Source organism: Homo sapiens, chromosome 15 (assembly GCF_000001405.40).
Source record: "Homo sapiens chromosome 15, GRCh38.p14 Primary Assembly".
Classification (NCBI taxonomy): domain Eukaryota; kingdom Metazoa; phylum Chordata; class Mammalia; order Primates; family Hominidae; genus Homo; species Homo sapiens.
The window spans coordinates 79,058,261-79,080,037 of record NC_000015.10 but is presented as its reverse complement, the minus strand read 5'-3'; the positions used below and the strand labels follow the sequence as shown (position 1 = coordinate 79,080,037).

The 21,777-nt window shown below is 50.2% G+C and overlaps 1 protein-coding gene across 7 annotated transcripts in view; it reads left to right on the top strand.

The window, feature by feature from the left end:
* RASGRF1 (Ras protein specific guanine nucleotide releasing factor 1) overlaps positions 1 to 21,777 on the top strand; it is a 130,875-nt gene that overhangs the window by 10,743 nt on the left and 98,355 nt on the right. For all 7 annotated transcript variants that reach the window (NM_001145648.3, XM_017022456.3, XM_017022455.3 and 4 more), the window contains exons 2-3: positions 15,512 to 15,618; positions 21,557 to 21,704. In NM_001145648.3, coding sequence (NP_001139120.1) covers positions 15,512 to 15,618; positions 21,557 to 21,704 — 255 coding nt within the window. The remainder of the gene's footprint in view (positions 1 to 15,511; positions 15,619 to 21,556; positions 21,705 to 21,777) is intronic.

The following is a 21,777-nucleotide window of genomic DNA, read 5'->3' as shown; positions in this document are numbered from 1 at the left end:
GATGACCTCGAGGGCAGAGGCACCGCCAGTATAGGGCATGCCCCCATGAGTCGCATCTGCTGGCTCTTAGGGGAGGCTGAGCATGCTCAGTGAAGACCACATTCCAGGAGGCTTAAATGGTGGGGTCCCAGGGAGGTGTGTCCTGGTGTCCAGATAACACAGGGTGCAGCTTGGAGAAGCCTGGGGAATGGAAGGTCAATTGGACCCTCTTAAATAGCCATTGCTTTCTTTTATTTTAAATTTTAGGATTGGTAATGCATGTCCATAGCTCAACATTCAAGAGACAAAAAAAGTATACAGTGACAATGCTCCTTCAATGACTCTGTTCACTTCCCTAGTGGCCATTATACCAGTTTCTTATCCATTCTCCCAGAGGGATTATATATATATACATGTACATGCAAACATCTGTCTGTCTATATGCATGCATGTATAATTATATAAATGGTAACACAGTCTGCACCATGTTTTTCTCACTATTTTGTGGAGAGGATTCTCTGCAAGTACATTGATCACCATTCTTTTTTGTGGCTCTATAGTATTCCATGGTGTGGACATGCTATCATTTTTTTTTTTTTTTGGCCAGTCTCTTCTTGAGGGATATTTAGGTAATTTAAAGTATTTTGCTATTACAAATGGAGCCGCAGTTAATAAGTAAATATCCCTGCACATGGGCCATTTCCAACCAAGTTTTTGACAGAAGCTGAAGGGCAGATATATCCATACTGAAGTTTGTACCTTCATTCAGCAAGTATGAGAAAAGGGGCTGTTGAAAAGGGGAGGGCAGGCTGGCTGAGGCGTCATCACAGATCGAAAGATGTTTGTGCAGGACCAGCCAAGTGTAACAGCCACCAGGACCCGTTTCATCTGTAGCCATGGCGCCCAGGCCCTGGAGTAGTTTACATTAAAACAGAGACCCTTCCGCAGACAGAAGCTTGGAGGCCTACACTGACATGGGCCCCCAGGCCTTGGGTCAAGCACAGCCTCGTTCGAGGCTGATTCTGAAAGAGGGGGGCTTTCAAGGGCTTCTAAGCCCTGAGGTTGCAGTCACTTCCTGAATCTCCTCCCACCTACTTCCTCTCAACTCCCAGCGAGGCCAGGCAGGGAGGATGAGTGAGCACATAGCATGGCACCCAGGAGGTCAGTCTCTGGCCGCAGGCCTCTTCCTGGGCTGGTTTGGGGCCCAGAGTGACGTATGTCTTAGGCCTTAAAGACTGGGAATCTGGACAGAGACCTGAGACAGGCACTGAGAACAGGGACAAAGCAGAGGTTCTGGTGCGGCCACCACGGCCCAGGAAGACTCAGACTTGAGAACTCAGAGGCAGAGTTGGGCAGAAAGAAGCCAATTGGAGCTAGGAAGGAGGTCACAAAGTGGGGTCCTGACCCTGCATGAAGCCACATCAGGAGAGGTAGGGGGTATGAGTAGTCAGGGTGGATGAGTTCTTTCTGGATTGGTGTGGGGGATCTAGTGGGGCATGGGAGAAGCTGATACTTCCTGCTCCGTGGACTGCCTTCCTGCTCAATGGAAGTATTAGCCTCTGCTGGCCCCACAAGTGCAGGAAGTATTCCCTGACTTGGGAATAATGTGCTTAGTGAATCCCCCACTGTACACCACGGCATGAGCACGTGCAGCCAGGGCTGGAAGGAACCAGCGTTGGTGAGCATGCACTGCATTGCAGCAGCTGTGAGAGAGGTTGGAAGATGCTCTTGGGGTGGCCTGCAAGGGTCATGGGACAGTGACTTCCCCTGGGAAGGAGATGGAAAAGGGAGCTGGAGGATCTGGGTGGGGCCGGGGGGGCCTATATGGGTGTCCCCATATAGATGGAAGGAAGGAGAGAAGATGGACCCTGGGCCAGGGCAAGTGCACACATACGCACATGCATGCACACACACACACACACACACCAGGTTCTCTGTAGCACAGCCACTCCCTGCACTGGGATATCACGCAGCATGTGGCAGAAGCACAGCACCTGTGGGCCCTCAGCCCCAAAGGTCAATGATGGCGGGGAGGAGGAGCCAGGACCCAGCTGGGGAGAGCTGGCCCTAACCAGAGCAGCAGAGTGGGACCTGGTAAGGGGTGGGATCAGCCAAGAGTGGTAGCATCTATCCCCGAGCCCACCCCACCCACCCCTTCTCTCAGAGGAGGCAATGAGCAGAGGCCCAGGCAGCAGGTCTGAACTCCCAAAAGGCGGGATGAATTGGAGGGGGCAAGGAGATCAGAGGGGACTGTTTGATGGTCCAGGTGGGTAATGAAGAATCCCTGAAGCAGGCATGGCAGTGAGGATGGGGGAAGGCACAGATTCCAGAAATACTAGAGAGGAAAAACGGATACAACTGGCAGCCAGTTACACAGCGGGAAGAGGAGAGAAGCAGGAACTGAAGATAATGTGCAAGATGCCACAAACGCCATCTCCCTGTAACCCACTGATCTTGCATGGCTGTGACCGTTCTGGTTATGAGCCCCTCCCCACCACGCCCTCAGGACAGTGGCTGGATCCTACGTTGTGTGTATGTGTGCAGGCATATGAATGCTCATGCATGTGTGTTTTCCAGTAATGTGCCACTGCTAGGTTGATTAGACCCATCATTTGACCTTGTAAATGAATCCAGTGGTTTACAAAACACTATTTGAGCCTTTTCATGAACGAGGAGCTCCCACAATGCTGTCCTAAACAACCCCATGAGGTGAGTAATATTGTCCCCATTTTGTGAAAGAGGAAACTGTCCACAGAAGTGAAGAGGTGTGTTGAAGACCCCAAGGCCAAATAATAAATAATAAATTTGAACCCAGGTCTGATGACTCCAAACCCTGGTAGACCCCACAACCCCAGGGCCCCAAAATGGACTCCCTGGAACACTGGTTTTATGGAATATTAATAGATCTTCCCAAAAAATGAAAACAAGATTCCATGGGTGTTCCAGAAAAGGCTCCTTATGGAAGGACTGCCCTGTGCCCTGTCAGCTATCCCTGAAGAGGCACGGATGGCTTTCATGAAAAACCAGTCCCCCCAACCCCTTCCAGCCAGCTCCATTGCCCATGCCTGAGGGGTATATTCAATACCACCCTCTTTGTGGCTTTTGCTATTAGCCAATTAATAAGCTGGGCTCCTGGGCAGTGGTGACAAACGCATTCAGTCACCCATTCAGTCAACCAGGGCTACCCTGTGCTCTGGCCAAGGCACGGTGCCAGGCTCCAGGGAGAGTTCTTGGTCAGGAATCATTTCTTTGAAAGGAGCAGGAGCCTTTTGCTCAAAGCAGCTTGAGCAAGAGAGGACTATCCTGGAAGAAACACAGCGGTAGTTAATGGAACCCAGGGAGAAAATACACGTCTGGGTCTCCATGGCCTGAACACCTCCGCCTAGCCTTGCCCCCACCACTTGATTCCATCACCACCTCTTGCCACTTTCTCTGAGACCCTTCTGCTTCCTTCTTGGCTTCTTACTTGCACTTAGAGCTCAGCACATGCAGCTCATCAGCCTGGTCTCTCTGTGCCACTATGCCACATTCCCAGGAGCCTCAGATGGGTGAACCCTGGTGCATGTCCACTGCTGCTCCAGTCAGCTGCATCCAGGACCATGGGCCTCTGAGAGGGCATGAGGAGCAGGGGAGAAGTCCTGGGTTTCTAGTATGACAACAACCACGTTGCTCCTCCCTCAGGGGTTCCAAACTCTGGGTGATTATAACCAGCTGGGGGGCTTTCAAAAAGACCAGTGCCTGCAACCTCCCCTCCCCTCCCCTCCCCACCCACCACTCTGTTTTAATGGATCTGAGAAGGGACTTGAGCGACAGGGCTTCTTTAAGTTCCCAGACATCGCTAATGTGTAGCCTGGATTGAGACTATGGGCTGTAGCTGGAAAGATAATCAGAACATCATTATGATATGAGTTGAGAATGGCCTTGATGGCACAGGATGGGGCGCTATCTGGGAGCCCCCAGCAGCTTGCCCATTTGGAAGAACCACCATACCTTTCCAAAAGCACATATACAGCTGACATGCATGTTGTCATTGATGGCTGCAAAGTGAACTATGTCTGGCTTCTAGTGGGGGCTAAATACTGGTTGAATTAATGAACGAGAAATGACTTGGAGAGTAAAAGGTGTGGGAAATCTTCACTCTAATACCACGTGTATAGAATAGACCAAGGCAAGTGTTGTTGGGCCTGTTTGTCAGAAAGGAACCAGGGCTCAGAGAGATGACAAGGCTGCCCAGAGTGCCCAGCTCTGAGCTTCACTGCCAGACCCAGACTCAGCTATGGAGGGTTCCACCTGCTCCTCTGTCTGTAGGGGAACCAAACATCCCAGTTTGCTCAGGACTGTCTTGGCTTTAGTACTGAAAGTGCCACACCCCCAGGAAACTCATTAGTCTCAGGCAAACCCAGGACAGTTGGTCACCCCACTGTCAGTGGTTGTCCAATGTTCTGTGTTCAGTGGAGAGGCTGTAGGGGCTGCTGGTCAGTTGGGAGAGGCAGGAGGCAAAAGAGAGTCTAAGTAGGTGGGGCTTCAAGCCCCCAGCCCCAGCTTCCAGAGGGGAAGTAGATCCAGCTCCAGACTGACCTGGGGTAGCAGGGGCCATTTTGCAGCCCAGTTGGACAGGAGAGGCATACTGGGGCCAGGAAGGACATACTGGACAGGAAGGGCATACTGGGGCCAGGTATGCGCTGGAGCTCAGGCACCGCCAGGTCAACTGAGGCCACAGGTGTGGTTCCAGAACATTTCCTCCAGCAAAGACAAGGGCCCACATGTGAGTCTAGTCCTGGCACAACCCCAGATGTGATTTCTGAATCCCTGCCTGTGAGCCTGGTAGGTCGCAGGTATAGTTTGTGGATCAATCCCTCTTTTCCTACTGAAGCCCCAGGCAAAAGTCTAGACTAGTGAGTTGTTCTCAACCTTGGCTGCCCATTGGAATCACCCGGGGATGCTACGTCAAACTCCAGTGTCCAGCCATGGTTGAGACTCGCAGGTCTAGGGATACTCAGCAACCCAGGTCAAGCCTCAGGAGGTCCAGGCTCCATCCATGCACTTGGGAAGGCCTTGGAATCATTGTGGATCTGTTACAGTGATTTTGATTCTGCGAGTATTTCTCGCTCGATCTTAGGACTCCTGGTGGAATCTCAAATCAGGTTATCCATCTCTTACTTCAGGTCTAGGAAAGCTCTAGGTCCATCCTTGATCTCTGTGGAGGCCCCAGGTGGAGCTCTGGGCCCATCTCTGCAGCCCTGCAGGGGCTTTAGAAGTGGTTCACCAAGTCTTGCCTCTTCTGTAGCAAAATCGGGTGCGGCCCATTGGTGGTTTCTTCCTCTGTTGCATTTCTGGGGAGTCCCTGAATGAGGCTGTGGTCTGTTCATACAACTGCAGTTGGACCCCAGCGATGGTTCTGTGAATCCCTGGATGCATTATGGGGCCTGGGTGTGGCTCTGAGTTGGCCCATGCAGGCTAGTGAGGCTCACGATAAGGGTCTTTCTACACAGCCCATGGCACCTTCCAGGTGTGGTAGTGGACCTGGGCCTCCCGCCCAGGTGAAGCTCCACATAGGGTACTGGCCCTGCCCTCACAACCTGGTGAGTGCTCTGGTAGTGCTGAGGCTGTCCTTGCAATACTGGGCTAAGCCAGGTTCGGATGTATCTCTGGACTATAAGACTTCCCATCATTGACCCTCACATCAACTGCCTATCCTCACCCTAAACTGGCTCCAGTCCAGTTCAGGGAAGAGCCTCAGCCCAATTTCCCCACAGGGGCCACTTGCCCTTAGAAGGAGCCATGGGCTTATCAGTTCCCCTTGAAGCATGAGCATGTACGGAATCACCTAGGGTGCTCTTTAAAATAAATTCCAGCCATACCCCTAGGGATCCTGATTCAGAAGGCAGCTAGTGCCTGGAGATCTACATTTTTAGCAAGCGCCCCAAGGGATTTGGAGTGGAAAACTGGGATACTGAAGTAGGAGAAATGTATTTTTACATCTACTTACCTCTGGGGCAGCTCCTGCCCAGCAGAGCTGTAGATCTGAGCCTGGACCTAGAAAACTGGTGGCACCCAGCAAGACTGAAGACAGTCCTGGCCCCACATGTAGTTTTATCTCAAGTAATGGTGGCTTGCCTTAAGCAATGCTTCTCATACCACAGGGTGCAGCAGGATCACCTGGGGGGCTTGTTTCAAAACAGAGGTCTGGGGTGGAGCCCAAGAACTTACAGTCCTAACAAATTCCAAGGTGATTTGGGTGCTGCTGCAGCTCCAGTGACTTTAAGGACTCTCATGGCAGTAAGGGTGGTGGGACATTCTTGGAAGAACAAGAACCACAGTACAGGCAGCATTCCCAGCACACGTAACTGAGAAGAGGTGGAATCCAGGTGTTCCAGGGCAGCCAGTCTTGTCCCCATGCCATCCTCAACCACCTGTAGCCAGAGCCTGACACGCCACCTCTAGCTTCCCACCCTCAGTGCAACTCAGCGGCACCCCGTGTCTGCCAGTGCCACCCTCGGTGCTCTGCTATCTCTGCTTGGCCTCACACCTCCTCCTCACCTGCCCTTCTCGTCTCTCACAACCCCGACTCCAGGTGGTCTCCTTATAGCTTCGGATGATACTGCCAACCAACTGCCTCTCCTCCTATTTCCTAAGGCAAACTCCCCGCCTCACTTCCCTGTTGGGGCAGTTTGGGGAGCCCTTGCTCTACCTGGCTCCAGTCCAGTTAAGGGAAGAGCCCCAGCCCAGCTTCCCCACAGGAACCAGCTGCCCTTAGAAAGAGCCATGGGCTTATCAGGCATCATGACTCCCCTTCTGGGATCTGGGCAGTCTGGTGGAGGACTGCGGGGGATACTAGATCTATTCCAGCAACTCTAGTAGGCCTGTGAAGATTTGTTATTGAAACTTGGACTCGGGTCCTGTATCTGAATGTATCCTATATCCTTGATCACATATAGTGAGTCCTGATCTCATCCAGGGCCCAGGGAAGGTGGGCATGAGGCTCTCTGTTGCATTGGAGAGTTCTAGGATGTCCCTGGGACTGACTCCAGAACAATGCTGCTGTTCCGCAGAGGAATCCAACCGGGATCCAGGCAAGCCTATGTGGTCCCATTGTTGTGGCAGGTGTGATTTGGGTCCTATCCTGTGGTCACACTGAGGCTCGTGTGTTGTGAGTCTGAGAAGCTCTGGGTAGCTCTGGTTGGTCTCAGCATCATTCTGGGGATGTCCAAGTTGTGATCCTGGCCTCATCACAGCAGCTCCAGTGTTGCCCCCAGTGTGAGTCTGGTTTTTACTCTGCAGCTTTGGAGGGATCTGTCTCTGGCCTCTGCCCAACCTTGTAACTCTGAGGAAGCTCAGGTGGGAGTTCAGCTTTCAAAGGTGACTCAGGTCAGCCAGAGCTCTGAACCGATACCAGCTGAGGTTATGAGACTGTCTCAAGAGCTCTGGTGCTATGCAGGGTCATTGTTTTTCCATGGAAGAAATTGATATTAAGATTATTTATTGGCCGGGCGCGGTGGCTCACGCCTGTAGTCCCAGCACTTTGGGAGGCCGAGGCGGGCGGATCACGAGGTCAGGAGATCAAGACCATCCTGGCTAACACGGTGAAACCCCGTTTCTACTAAAAATACAAAAAATTAGCCGGGCGTGGTGGCAGACGCCTGTAGTCCCAGCTCCTCGGGAGGCTGAGGCAGGAGAATGGCATGAACCCGGGAGGCAGAGCTTGCAGTGAGCTAAGATCATGCCACTGCACTCCAGCCTGGGCAACAGAGTGAGACTGCGTCTCAAAAAAAAAAAAAAAAAAAAAAAAAAGATTGTTTATCAAGAACTCCCAGAAACCCCCTAACTGCTCCAGACCACCACCCTCGTGAGGTCCTCAGGCAGTCGCTGGCAATATAATGCTCCTCAGTTCTCTCCAGCTATCTCAGAGCTCCAGGGAGCTGAGCTGGCCTGACTGAGGCTTTGGAGCTTGGGCCTTGAACCAAAGCAGGCCTGTGACTCCTCCTTCCTCCCTAAGCTCATTTCCCAATAGCAGATGGTACTACTCCAGAATCCAGAAAGCCTCTCCCAAAACACACCCAAACCAGCCAGAAAAGATCATAGGGACAGGAGAGCAAGTCTTAGGGCCAGAAGATATGTGTTCAGATTTCTAGGACAGTGGGAAGGAGATGGGAGCCCCTGGCCCTGGTACACTCAGTCACAGCCTGGAGAAGAGGAGGGAGCCAAGAAAGGGAAAACTAGGGGGCCCTAATATGGGGTGCCACTTTGCAGCTGGTACCACCCTGACCAGCTGACTTCACCTGCCATGTGGAAAGAAGCTGGGAAGAGTGGGGAGGGAAGACCTGGGAAGGGGACACAGAGGAGAAAGGCAGGAACAGAGACACAAAGAAAGAAGGAGACAGCTGCAGAGGGCCAGGCACAGTGGCTCACAACTATGATCCCAGTACTTTGGGAGGCCAAGGAGGATGGATCACTTGAGGACAGGTGTTCGAGACCAGCCTGGCCAACATGGCAAAACCCCGTCTCTACTAAAAATACAAAAAAAAAAAAAAATTAGCCGGGCATGGCGGCGCACACCTGTAGTCCCAGCAATTCGGGAGGCTGAGGCAGGAGAATCACTTGAACCTGGAAGGTGGAGGTTGCAATGAGCAGAGACTGTGCCACTGTACTCCAGCCTGGGCAACAGAGTGAGACTCTGACTCAAAAAAAAAAAAAGAAAAAAGAAAAAGAAAGCTTCAGAGAATGCAAAGGAGAGAGAGAGAAATGGAAAGAACAGAGAGGAAAGGAAATGATCCCTTTCCAGGCTCAAAGAGCCAAGAGGTGGAGTTTTTCTAGAACTTTGGCCTATCCATGCCAGAGGCAGCTCTGCTCCTTGTTGAAGGTGCAGTAAGGGGAGATGGCCTTGCAGTGGGTCCTGAGACCCGCCATGAAAACAAGGCTTCAGGCTCAAGCATGTCCAAGCCAACATTCATCTCCCTTGCATATTTGCTCCTTGGGGACACAGCATGAGCATCGGCAGCCCAGCCTGAGGGTGCAGCTGCTCTCCCGGGGCTGGAGACCAGCAGAGGATAAGAGGTCTGAGTGTCCCTTGGGGAGGGTTGCCCTGAGCCTTGACATGCTCCTATGCAGCCACCAGTCACCCACGAGATGGGCAATTCAGATCCTCAACAACTTTGTGTCTATTTCCCTGAAGTTGTCCTGAACTTCTAAAATGGAGTAGGGCCTAGAAGATCATCATATTTTTACCCCAAGCCCATACTAGCCAAGAAATCACCTGTGCTTCAAAGTAGGCACCCAAGCTTGCCAAGGAGAAAGTTATTAAAAATATTAATAAAAAAAGAAGTATAGTGAACATGCATTGGATGCTTGCTTGCAGGCACCAGCATTATCTCACTTGACTCTCACAACAATCATGCAAGGAAGGGACTCTTCTTATGCCCATTTTGTAGATGAAGAAACTGAGGTGAGAACCTCAGTGACTGGCCCCAGGTTACACAGCTAGCAAGTATTACCAACAATAGCATTTCCCAGATAACACAATGCCACCTACACCTGTCATTTGTTGTCATCTGAAACATGTAGGAATATGAACCTCCACCTGCTTAGTCCTCCTCCAATTATTAAGGCCACTTCTTTATCTCAAAAGGAAATCAAGTTTCCCAAATAGAGTCTCCCTTTATTTAAAAAACCCCAGACAGAAACTAAGGCTGAACTGAAGCATCTGTCTCCCTTTTTTCCCAGTTATATGCTCTGTCCCCGTCAGGGGAGCTGCCCAGGTAGGGGCTAGGTGGAGAGTGGGCTCTTTGACCCAAACTGGACCACAAAGCTGGGCTATTGCAACCCTGAGACTTCCATGTGCTCTCCATCTCCAAAGTCCCAGAAGATCAACGGGACACACAAGCATATCCCAGACCCAACCTCACACCTGTGGAACCAAATGCGACCTGAGCAGAATGTTAGCACCTGTGCATTTCCCAGGCAGAAGCAAGGCACCCCGAACATTACTCCCCAGCCCCTGCTGCCACCATCCATGGACCTCATGGGGACATCCTGGGTTGGGGGCTTCCACTGTCTTCAGGTGTCTGTGTCAGCTCATGGCAGGGAAACTTCCATTTGGGTGAATGGTGCATAAGAGCCTCATAAGGGCCAAGGTTTTCTGCAAGTGCCATAAAGTGTAATGGTGAAAGCTAGGTTGTGGGATATGGGTTTTTACTGTAAAATAATTATAATGTCTGTGAATGTTTAAAATTTTCATAATGAAACGTTGGCAGTGGGTGAGGAAGGCAGACAAAGATCAAGGCCTTTTCAGCCCAGGCACCTCAAGGACCCAAGAAGAAGCAATAGGAAGTCCCTTCTTCTGCCCCCGTTTCCCCCAAATCTTTGACTTCCCTTACTTAAGAAACACCAGCATTTATAGTCTTTACTATTCTGATACCATCACCAAAATATCTCTTTCTGTCCGACTGCTGCAGCAAGACCTGCTTCCCCTGGAGAAATCTGCCCAGTCCCTCCATCCTGGCTGGAAAGCAGGATAAAGATGGGAAATTGGTTGGCACAGAGAAAATTCTATCACTTATATTCCTCACTCCCAGGGCTCCACTTATTTGGGGTGAGTCTACATTGGGACAAAAACAGTGGTTACAGATCCTCACTAACCAAAGACAGCAAACGGGGTCTTGCCATCCCCACATGGGCCTGTGTCCCTGAGAGATACAGCAGTGTGGCTGGGATGTCACAAGTGCCCACAAAGGTTGCTTGCAAAATCATTATTAGCAAGTGCAAGAGGAGTGAGGACCATCATGAGGTCCTGGGTGCCTCATCAGGATGTCATCAGAACCCCAAGGTGAAGCATTCATGTGTCTGTTCATTCACTCATTCTTCAGCTATTCATCAGCATCCACTCAGTACTAGGCTCTGTGCAGGGTTCTAGAGTTTCCAAATTAAGCAGGTACAAGCCCTGGCCCTGAGCAGTCCAAGACCAAAGGGTCAGCCAGGTTGTGAGGCTCCAAGGAAGGAGGGGCCTCAGGGAGAAGTCCTGTAGGTGAGGGGAAGGATGGAGTGCAGACACCCCCCACCCCCAAGCCTAAGCCCGGCCAGGCCTGTGGTCCAGGCAAACTCTTTTCCCTGAGACCTGAATCTCTGGCCTGTGTGTTCCCTGGGGCCCAGGGAGAGGTCATCGCCTGGCCTCTGCTGGGGTTCAGCCTGCCAGGCTGACCCCAGGACACAGTGCCATGCCTAGACCCTCAGACCACACTTAGGCCACACACCTGACCCTCACAGAGAAGAGGGGTGGGCCAGAAACATACACAGCCTCTGAGAGCTATGGGAGAGATTGGGAACAACCCAAGGCCTATCCAGAAGTGCAGGGAAAGACCCAAAACACATCCACACACATCCACACTCTCATTCACATTCTCCAGATATATCGATAGATGGATAGATATAAAAGCGTGTGTGTGTGTGTATATATACACATATATATAAATATATATGTATGTATATATATATGATACATCGATATAAAAGCATGTGTATATATATGTATGTATATATATACTTATACATATAAATATACGTGTGTGTGTGTATATATATATATATATATATAGGCTCAAAAAGACCTTGAGCCCAGCTCATTTAACTCCCCATTTCATAGATGAGGAAGCTAAGGATGACAAGGAGGAAGAGACTTAGTTGCCCCCAAGCCACACTGTCTCAACTGCAGAACTGACACCAGATAAGACCCCCTTTCCAGTGCTCTTTCCCTACCCAGAAAGCCACTTGCCCCCTATTAACTCTTCTCCATTACAGTGAAGAGAACAAACAGCGTGAACAGAAGGACCCTGGGCTAAGAGCCAAGCCACTGTCACCCTAGACAGCCATCCCAGAGACACCTCACACCCACCTCCAAGCCTCAGCCCCCTCTGTGAAGTGGGGTCGTGCCACCTACCTCCACCGTGGCTGGGCTCCCTCAGGAACACAGGGACAGTGCCTGCAGGGTGACAGGCACACAGCAGGGCCTCACAAAATCAGTCACTTTCCCTTTTTTTTCCCCACACCACTGGTTGTGTTTTAGGTTTTCCTGCACATAGGTTTGGAAATCTGACATTCTCACTGAGTCCCTTTCACCTCTCTAAGCTCCCTTTTTTGTAGCATCTTCCAGGAGCCTGGAGCTCATCCTCTCTCTCTAGACGTGGGCTTTGGTCTTTCCCAGTGGATTATACTCTGTCTCTGTGTCTCTGTAGGCTTCTCCCTCTCCCACCTGCCCCCCACCCATCTATCTCTATCTTATCTCTGTCTCTGTCTCTATCTCTGTCCCTACCAATTCCTACATAGAGCAAAGTCTCATTTACTTGCTACCCAAAGTCCAGATTTGTGCTGATTCAGAAACTCTGGGTGGAAGCTGACTTTCCCTTAGCAAACAATTTCTACAAGTCAGTCGGGCAATGTGGTTGCATAAAACAGATGTCAGGGGGCAGGTTTACGAGCACAAAGGGAACAAACTGCTCTCAAGTCATTCGAGGCACTTATATTCCAGCTCAGGCCTCCTGCAGCAGCAAAAGCACCACTGGGCAAAGGCAGCCCAGGGTTCTGGCTTCAGTGATGCTGCTTCTAGCCCAGTGACCTTGGACAAATGAATGTGTCTTGCCTCCACATGCCCTCTAAATGGGGATAACAGACTTAATTTCTAGGGCAGTTGTGTCTCTAGTCAGGTGGTGTGTGCAAAGAACCTAGTACCATGCCTGAGGCGTGGTAGATCCTCCAGTTTCCCCTTCTTCTTAAGGTGGAGGCCCTCACAGCTGCCTGGACTGCAGTTCTTCTGGCTGGGAGCCTGAAGTGGCTCTGGATACTCCCAGAGCTCGCCCTGGCCCCTGGAGCCTGGCTGTTATGCCTCACAGGGAAGCTTCTGGGTCACGCTTGTCCCGAAGGCCACCCCTCCATAAACTGGCCACTTCACTTGAACGCTAAGCCTGTCAGTCACTCAGGGTCTAGGCAGTGTCTCCTATCCCAGGAGGACAGCAGATGCAGGATGCTTGTTAGGAGACTGTGACAGTAGCCCAGGAGAAAGGTCGTGGGGCCTAACCTAGGGCAGCAGTGATGGGGTCAGAGCGAGGCCACACAGATGGAGTAGACGGGCAGATGAACTGGCAACTATTGGAGTGACAGGAAGGGAGTGGGGAAAGCCTCTGGGTAGCCTGCGGCCGGCTTCCTGAAGCCTCCAGGAACCCCGTGCCTGGTCTGCAGGATGGAGAGTTGGGCATCATAACCTGTCAGAAGCTCAAGGTCTCTGATGACTGGGTTCAGGCCTGGAGGGTCTTCCTGGCATCCTTCCTCACAGTTAGGTTTCCAGCAGGGGTGAGGCTGTAGGGGATTCCAGTACACATGGGTAGCAGGGAGCCATCTGCTTCCCTACCCAGTAGGGCTGATTGGGAAGAAGTCTCTGTGAAGAGTGAAAGGCCTCAGCCAAGCCCATCACCCCATGCAGCTCTGAGTCCCCTGGTGACCCAGTAGGGAAGGAGAACACTCCTGCTGTGGTCCCAGCAATGGGCTCCTATAGCTCTGGGACATTCCCCTTGGGGCTCTAAGGAGACCCAGCAACTCCACTGTGCCTGTATGTAGCTGAGTGCCTTGTTTCTGATTTGGGACTCTGAGTCTCACCTACCTACAGGCTCCCTGAGGTGGGGACTTTGCCTTTTTGTCTTTGCATCCCAGGGCCAAGCCCAGGGCCTGAGCAGGCGGCAGTTGCCCAGTGCAGGTGTGTCATCCCAGCTTCTCTGCTTTCCCGCTGTTTGGCCTTAGGCAAGCAGCTCAACCTCTCTGAGCTTCAGGTTCATCAGCTGTAACACAGAGAATACCTGTTCTGCTTGGTGAATGTGGAAATAATGAGATCATGGGAGACAAGCATTTGTGTGTTCATCATCTCTCGAGAGATGGGGAAAGTGCTAGGTAGCTGCCTGCCACTATGTGTCACCTGCTTCCTCCTCTAGGGGGGCAGGGTGCCCACTGGAGCCTTTCAGATTCAGTTATTTGAGGCTGTAGCTGACATTTCATTCTATAGCCCCAGTTATCTGTTTCCTAGGAAACAAGAGACAGACATTGACTCTGTAACAACTCACTCTCTCTCTCCTCTCTCTCTCTCTCTCCTGCCATACTCATTCCCCCCGCCCCCCACTTCACATACACCCGGCTGCCACCTAGACTGACAATTAACAAAAATACATAAATGTCAGCAGAAGCTAAAATTAGTTTACACACTGCACCTTGTGCTGCTGCTCCCTGCCACCTGGACACCGAGGGATGGAGGGACGGGCACCCTCTCTGGCTCAGTGTCACACCATGGCTGGCCCGTGGTGCATCCTCTGAACAGCAGACCTAAGGGCCCCTCTTTGTACCTCACCCCCTGCCTCTCTCCTCCCAGTTTCACCAGGCCCAGGCCCAGGCTGGGCCCCCAGCACTTCGTTTGTCTGCCCTCTCTCTCCGACGAATCCCTCTGCATGCGGAGCTGGCCCCTCAGAGCCCCCTGCCCCTTCCTCCTGCCAATGCCCCAGCCCAGTCTATGACTCTCCCAACATGCCCAGTTGCTCAAACCTGAAACCTGGGCTTTGTCCCTGCTGCTCTCTCCTCCCACGGCTCCTCCTCTCAGCTGCACCCCAGGTCCCTGCCCACCTGCCCACTGGCATCCCTGTACAGCCCCCTCCCCCTCCCAAATATGCTATGAGCTCTGGACACCAAGCTGCCCCCATGCTCTTCCATTCAGCTGAAATAAAACTGAACCAATGTCCCATCCTCTGGGAAGCCCTCCTGATCTCCCTGGGATAAGTCAGTGGGTGACTTTCTCTGTGCCCCCACAGCCCTTTGTTCTTACCTCCATGACAGTAGTGATCACACCACATTAATTACAGCAATTACAGTGCTTACTAGGTGCCAAGCATTCTTCTAGGAGCTTTACATGCATTTAACTCATATAACAGTATTGCAGATGGGTGTCTATTGTCTGGCTCTTCTGCTTCCCTGAGTCCTTAAGGGGCAGGGCCCATGGTTGGCATGGTTCTAAGTTAGTCACCTGCACCCAACACAGAGGTGGCTTTCAGTGGGCTCTTACAGGGACCGTGTCTGTTTACTCATCGCTCTAACCCCAGGACCTAGAAGGGCACTTATTCCATTTTTGTGGAGTGAGTTAAATACATGCTGCATTGAATTGGTACCCAGTTCCCAAAAGGATGTTCTAATGATGTGCTTTCCCTGCCTTCCCTCCAGCGCGCCTGATGATTTCAAACTGGCTTTTTTGCAATTTGTTGTTGAACAGGGCTTTGTGTGTTTTGTTTCCTTCTTACAATATCCTAAGCATAGGCTCTGTTACACGATACAAAAGCCCTTTTAATCGAGAACTGGAAACTGCTAAATAGAATGGCATTCTGATTATCACAAACAAGGAATCTGTGCCTAGCTGATGTGGCAGCAGGCACTTTGCAAAACAGCTAGATTGATTGCAAGAGTCGTTGTTGGTCCCATGGACACTCTGGTAATTGGAGATGTCTTCTTCTTGATACAGCATTACTTCACGGTGAACTTCAGCCATGAGAACCAGAAAGCCTTGGAGCTGAGGACAGAGGACGCAAAAGATTGTGACGAATGGGTGGCAGCCATTGCACATGCCAGGTATGTCTCCTTGCCCAGGGCAGGAAGCCCCTACTCCACAGTCCAGGCAGAAAAGACCAGACCCAAGGGCCTTTGAACAAAGCCAAGCCCCATGAAGTGGAGGGCATGGGAAAGGAGGAGGAGAAGCATCTCTTGGCAGGGTCCACCCTTACATCCTGCACCTCTGGGATGAGCCTCTCAGTGCCACAGGGAATGAGAGGCCATGAGTATTGCAGCTCCTACCCTGCTCCCACACTAGTTACCTTTTTTATATTAGCAGAACCAAGTATGATTTGGTTTGGTTAAAGGATTTTGTGGCTCCTGAAGCCTAAGGCCTCCAACATTCTGACCCAAATGCAGCCACTCATTTGCTGCATTACCATGGACCAGTCCTCTCTGCTCTCTGGACCTTGGTTTTCTCATCCAGAGGCTGACATTCTAAGCCTCTCTGAACTTTGACACTCAGGGATTCTAGGCCTGCTCCTCCCCTCTGCTCCAGCAGTAAGTGCCCCCTGTAGGGAGACTCCCTGGGCCAGGAGAGGGGAAAGCCAAAGGACAATAGGTGCCACAGAGACAACAGGGGCTCCAAGCTGAACTGAGTCCCTTTTGGGTCCTAAGGAAATGATGGGTTTGTGAGCCAGGATGTGGTCCCAGAGCTGACAATCGCCTGGCAGAGCTGAACATGGTTAGGGGCAGCAGCACCCAGACTTACGTTTCTGGGCAGTGGATTTTTCTACCTTAGTGGATAATAGTGTTTCTGTGTCTCCTGCCTAAAAAAATGGAAGCTCCTGAGGGCAGCGACCAGATGTGATTCTTTGCATTACCAAGGCCTGATAAAGGCATAGACAGAGTGCCCAGTAAATATGGGTTAGAGGAATGCAAGGATGGATGGGTGGTTGGAGGATGGATGCAAAGCTGGTTGTTGAGTTTATATATGGAAGATAAATGGTGAATTAATGCAGGATACATGGATGATACATGGACAAGTTAAAAGTATGTGTGGATGATGGACATATGGTTTGATAGATGGATCCTAGGGCCCGTCCTTGAGCCTTGGGTCAGACTAGTTAACCAGAAGCCCTTATTATGACTATAGCAATGACATTGGCCCTGAGATAAGGCCATCTCTAGTTCTTTCCTCAAGGGGTATCCATTCTAGCTACAGAGACCAGGTTGTCACATATGAACCAATAGTCAGGCCCAGTGCACAGTGCTGGGAGACAGATGGATGCAACATAAGTATTCCCCCAGGGATATCGCAGTCTAATCAGGTAGACATTAGACATATGCACAGGTAGCTCTGGTGTATAGAGGCTGAGTTAAATACAAAACAACATGAGAGAGAGACATTACTTCCATCTGCAGGGAAATGGGAGAATCTGGGGAAGCTGGAAATAGGGTAAGATTTGGCCTGAGTAAGGGGATTGGGAGTCAGACTTAATGGGTTAGATTGGTAGCATTGAAATGCTCATTTCTCCCCACCCACCCCCCTACGACAACAACAAAAAAAAGCCTTAAATAAAGGTGCTGATACAGGAAAGAGAATTCCAAGAATAATGAAGAGGCAAAGTTTGGGTGTCATAAAGTAGATGAGGTTGGCCAGGTGCAGTGGTTCACGCCTGTAATCCCAACCCTTTAGGAGGCCAAAGTGGGCAAATCGCTTGAGGTCAGCAGTTGGAGACCAGCCTGGCCAACATGGTGAAGCCCCATCTCTACTAAAAATACAAAAATTAGCTGGGCATAGCGGGGGGTGGTAGGGAAGCCTGTAGTCCCAGCTACTCAGGAGGCTGAGACAGGAGAATTGCTTGAACCAGGGAGGCGGAAGTTGCAGTGAGCCAAGATCGCGCCATTGCACTCCAGCCTGGGCAACAGAGCAAGGCTCAGTCTCAAAAAATAAAAAAAATAAAAATAAAAGACAGAAAGTAGATGAGGTTGGACTATGGGCTGCAACCAGACCATAACTGGATCTTGAATACCGCTAAGGTGTTTGACCTTTCCCCTGTGAACGGTGGGAAGCCATTGAGGGTTTTATACAAGGGGAGTAGCATGATCAGAACTATGATCTGAATTGAAAATTGCTCATGATGTAGAGGATAAAACTGAGTGAGGAAGAACCCAGATGCAGGGGGAGCGATTGGACCTCAGTCTCCTAAGCACTAAAGTAGAACCAAGAGCCAGTTATTTTGAGTAGCAAATGAAATTATTTATGTGAAGGGGCTTTGTAAATGTAGAAGTATTATAGAATTCTAACTTTTACGTGCTGATAACCAGGACTACATTGATTTAGAATCTCAATCAATACAAAAAGTTTATAAAGGTAATGAAATACCAATACTTATAGAGTAGAGTGGCTAAAATGCTTAAGACAGACAATAGTGAATGTTGAAGATGAGTGGAACAAACGTAACTCATCTAGTGCTGGCAGGAAGATAAAATGGCACAACCACTTTGGAAAATTGCAAGGCAGTTGCTTAAAAAGTTAAACATACATCTGCTCTGTGACCCAGCAGTTCCACTTCTTAGTGCTTATCCAAGAGAAATGAAAAGATGTCCATAAGAAGTCTCATATGCAGATATCCCTTAGCAGCTTTATGCATGATAGTCCAAAACTAAGAATAGCCAGCGTGTCCATCAACAGGCAAATGTCTAAAGTCACCTTGGTATGCTGCTCAGCAGTAAAAGGAACCAGCTACAAATGCATGCAACCTGGTGGAAGAATCTCAAAATCAATTTGCTGAGTGAAGAGCCAGACACAAAATAGTACATGATATTTGGTTCCAGTTACATGAAATTCTAAAATAGGCAAAATAAGCCTGTGGTGATAGAAATCAGAATAGTAGTTGCTTCTGGTGTAGGGATTGACAGGGAAGAGGCATAAGGGAACTTCCTGGGGTGATGGAAATATCATCTGGATTTGAGTGCATGCGTTTATCAAAACTGATCAAACTGCACTTAAGACCTACGCTTTCTACAATATGTACATTAAACCTCAAATTTTAAAAATGAATGATATATATATATATATATTTTAAAGATAGTGTTCTAATTTTCTATTGCTGCATGAGAAGTTACCACCAACTCAGCAGCATGAAACAACACCCATTATTTTACCTCCCTGTTCTTTGGGTCAGAAGTCCAGGCTTAGCTGAGGTCTCTCTCTGCCAGGGTCTCACAGGCTAAAATTAAAGAGTCAGTGGGCTGAGCTCCTCTCTGAAGACTCTGAGAAATCATCACTTCCAGGCTCGTTCTTGTTGTTGGCAGGATTTAGTTCCTTGTAGCCATGGGACTGAAGTCCCTGTTTCCTTGCTGACAGCTAAGAAGGGGAGGAGGGGGCAGTTCCTAGAGGCTGCATACTCCTTGCCACATGGCCTCCTCCATCCTCAAGCTAGTAACTCTCCAGCCTCAGATTTCTCACTGCCCCTTCTACAACCAGCAGAGAAAACTCCCCGCTTTTAAAGTCTCATTCAATTGGATCACAACCACCAAGACAATCTCCCTGCCTTAAGGTCAACTGAGCCACATTGACACAAGCCGGTGACAGGAGAAGAAGCCCTGCAGGGCAACTGTGCAACGGTGCATGCCAGGCAGGCCATGCACACCTCTCCTGCCTACCATGGACAGGATAATTTTTCAAGCAATTCACTAAATTAAAGACTGGCTCTAAGAAGCCAATAAAATAATAATAATCCAATTGACATCAATGTTGCCAAGCCTGTCTGGGCCTCCAGAGCCTGACAGAATGTTCTGCATCTGAGGGTGTCTGTCTGCTCTACAGTCTGTCCAGCTCTCACAGTTCATCATGTGCTTATGATAACCCAGGGAGGGGTCCCTTCAGCCCATTTGACAGACGTGTGACCCAATGTCACACAGGACATGGGTGCCTGAGCGGGGGTGGTGGAGTCCCAGATCCTGGCTCCCAGCTTAGGGCTCTGCAACTGCCAGGTAATGCAGATTCAACACAAACTAGAAGCCTTCCTCCTCAATAAAGGAGCAGCTGGTGATCAATACCACCTACCTGTGAACAAAAACCTCTCCATATGCATCATCCTTTTGGAAGCCAGCAGCACGTGTCAATGGGACAATGGTGGAATGATGGGACATGCTGATTGTTTGCCTTCTTCCTTTGTCAAGCCCTGGGGTCTGGGTCAGCCCACTGGCCTCCCAGGAATGTCTCCCATTCAACCTGGGGGGTGGGGAGTGATACAGTGATGGTCGCAGAAAGGGAAATCGAGGCACCTTCCTTAGAATAGTCAACATCATCATCAGCCATCCTGGCTGAGCTGAGGCTTGTTGAGCAGTGCTTGGGACAATAGGAGCTATCATTGTACCACTTATCTACTATCTAGGGAGTTGGCCATAAGACCAGAGGCGGACACTATAACTGTAAGCATCACTGAACCTCAGACACCGTGTGTGTGTGTGTGTGTGTGTGTGTGTGTGTGTGTGTGTCTGTGTGTCTGTGTGTGTGTGTGTGTGAGTGTATCAGTGGAGACACTGGCTGTCTTCCACAGCCATATTGAGTATTAAGTATTTTTACATATTCCCAATTTAGTTTTTATTTACATATACATAATAGATACTTCCTATGTACGAAAAAAGGCACTGGAGTGTATTAATATCATGTAGAGACACAATGTTCTCTCGCGCTGTATGTATAATATTCTGGTATTATGGGATGCCTCTGTGGGGGGTGTGTGTTTATATACAGCAAGGTATAAAATGCAACATCAAGTGCATTTTACAGTGTACGTTTCAGGGGAGAGAACTGTATACCAAACCAGAAGACAAAACCACTAAAGGGGGCACAAATGCATGGTCAGGGGCTGGAGCCCGACTCTAGCTCCAGCTTTGACGCTCATGGACTGTGATTTGGACCTCAGTTTCTTCATTTGTGAAATGAGATAATTGGTCTTTTGTGATCCCCAAGTTCCCTTCTCACTCTGAGAGTCTGTGAGTCTGTAAAGATTGCACCTGCACGAGGGGGGATAGAAGGATAGGGAAGGATAAGGGAGGATAGGGAAGGGAAGGGAAGGGAAGGGAAGGGAAGGGAAGGGAAGGGAAGGGAAGGATTGGGAAGGGAAGGATAGGGAAAGGAAGGGAAGGATAGGGAAGGGAAGGGAAGGATAGGGAAGGGAAGGGAAGGATAGGGAAGGGAAGGGAAGGATAGGGAAGGGAAGGGAAGGGAAGGATAGGGAAGGGAAGGGAAGGGAAGGGAAGGATAGGGAAGGGAAGGGAAAGATAGGGAAGGAAAGGGAAGGGAAGGATAGGGAAGGGAAGGGAAGGATAGGGAAGGGAAAAGAAAGGAGGAAGGAGAGGAAAGGAAAGGAGAGGAGGATGGAGGGAGGGTTGGAAGAGGGACAGAAGGAGGGAGGGAGGTTAGCAGAGCAGCCTGCAGATGAGGCGGACGCCTATTTTACAGCACTCTGACGGGGTCCATTAGTAAGAAGAGACTAACGAAGCAGCTGAATTTTCACACCCATGGGGTGAGGGGAGTTGTGGTGGTACAAAAACAGACTCCTTCATGCTCTCAACTGAATTTCCTTTACAAGGAAAAACAAGTCTCTTGAGAAGTTGGAAAAACTTAAAAACCTGATATTCATTTTCATCACAGAAGCACAAAATCTTATTATACTTTAATAGGATAGCATTATAAACTAAAGGATTCTCTCTTCTAGCCCTGTTATTTATCTTTAAAAGTGGGTGGGAACAAGAACACAGATGTGCTTTCTGGATCAGGCTCGCACTCGGGCCCACCGCCCCGCCTTGCTCCAGCTCTCTCCCTGCCTGGACTGCCCCCACCTCTACCCTGCCAAGCCCTCTCACTCTGCAGGGTGCTGGGAGTCAGGGCCTTCTGCTAAGTGCAGGTGGGTGGGTGAGCCCCTCTCCCGGTCAGTGCCCTGCTTGGTTCGCCAGAGGACAAGGAGTCAGCATCTTACCTGCCATGTCCATCTGTCCACAGCTACAGGACCCTCGCCACAGAGCATGAGGCATTAATGCAGAAATACCTGCACCTGCTGCAGATCGTGGAGACAGAGAAGACCGTGGCCAAGCAGCTTCGGCAGCAGATCGAGGATGGGGAGATCGAGATCGAGCGGCTGAAGGCAGAGGTGACTGCGGGCTGGGGGGTGGGCCCAGGCCCTAGGCACAACATCTCAAACCCTGGGCTCCTGCAGGATTGGG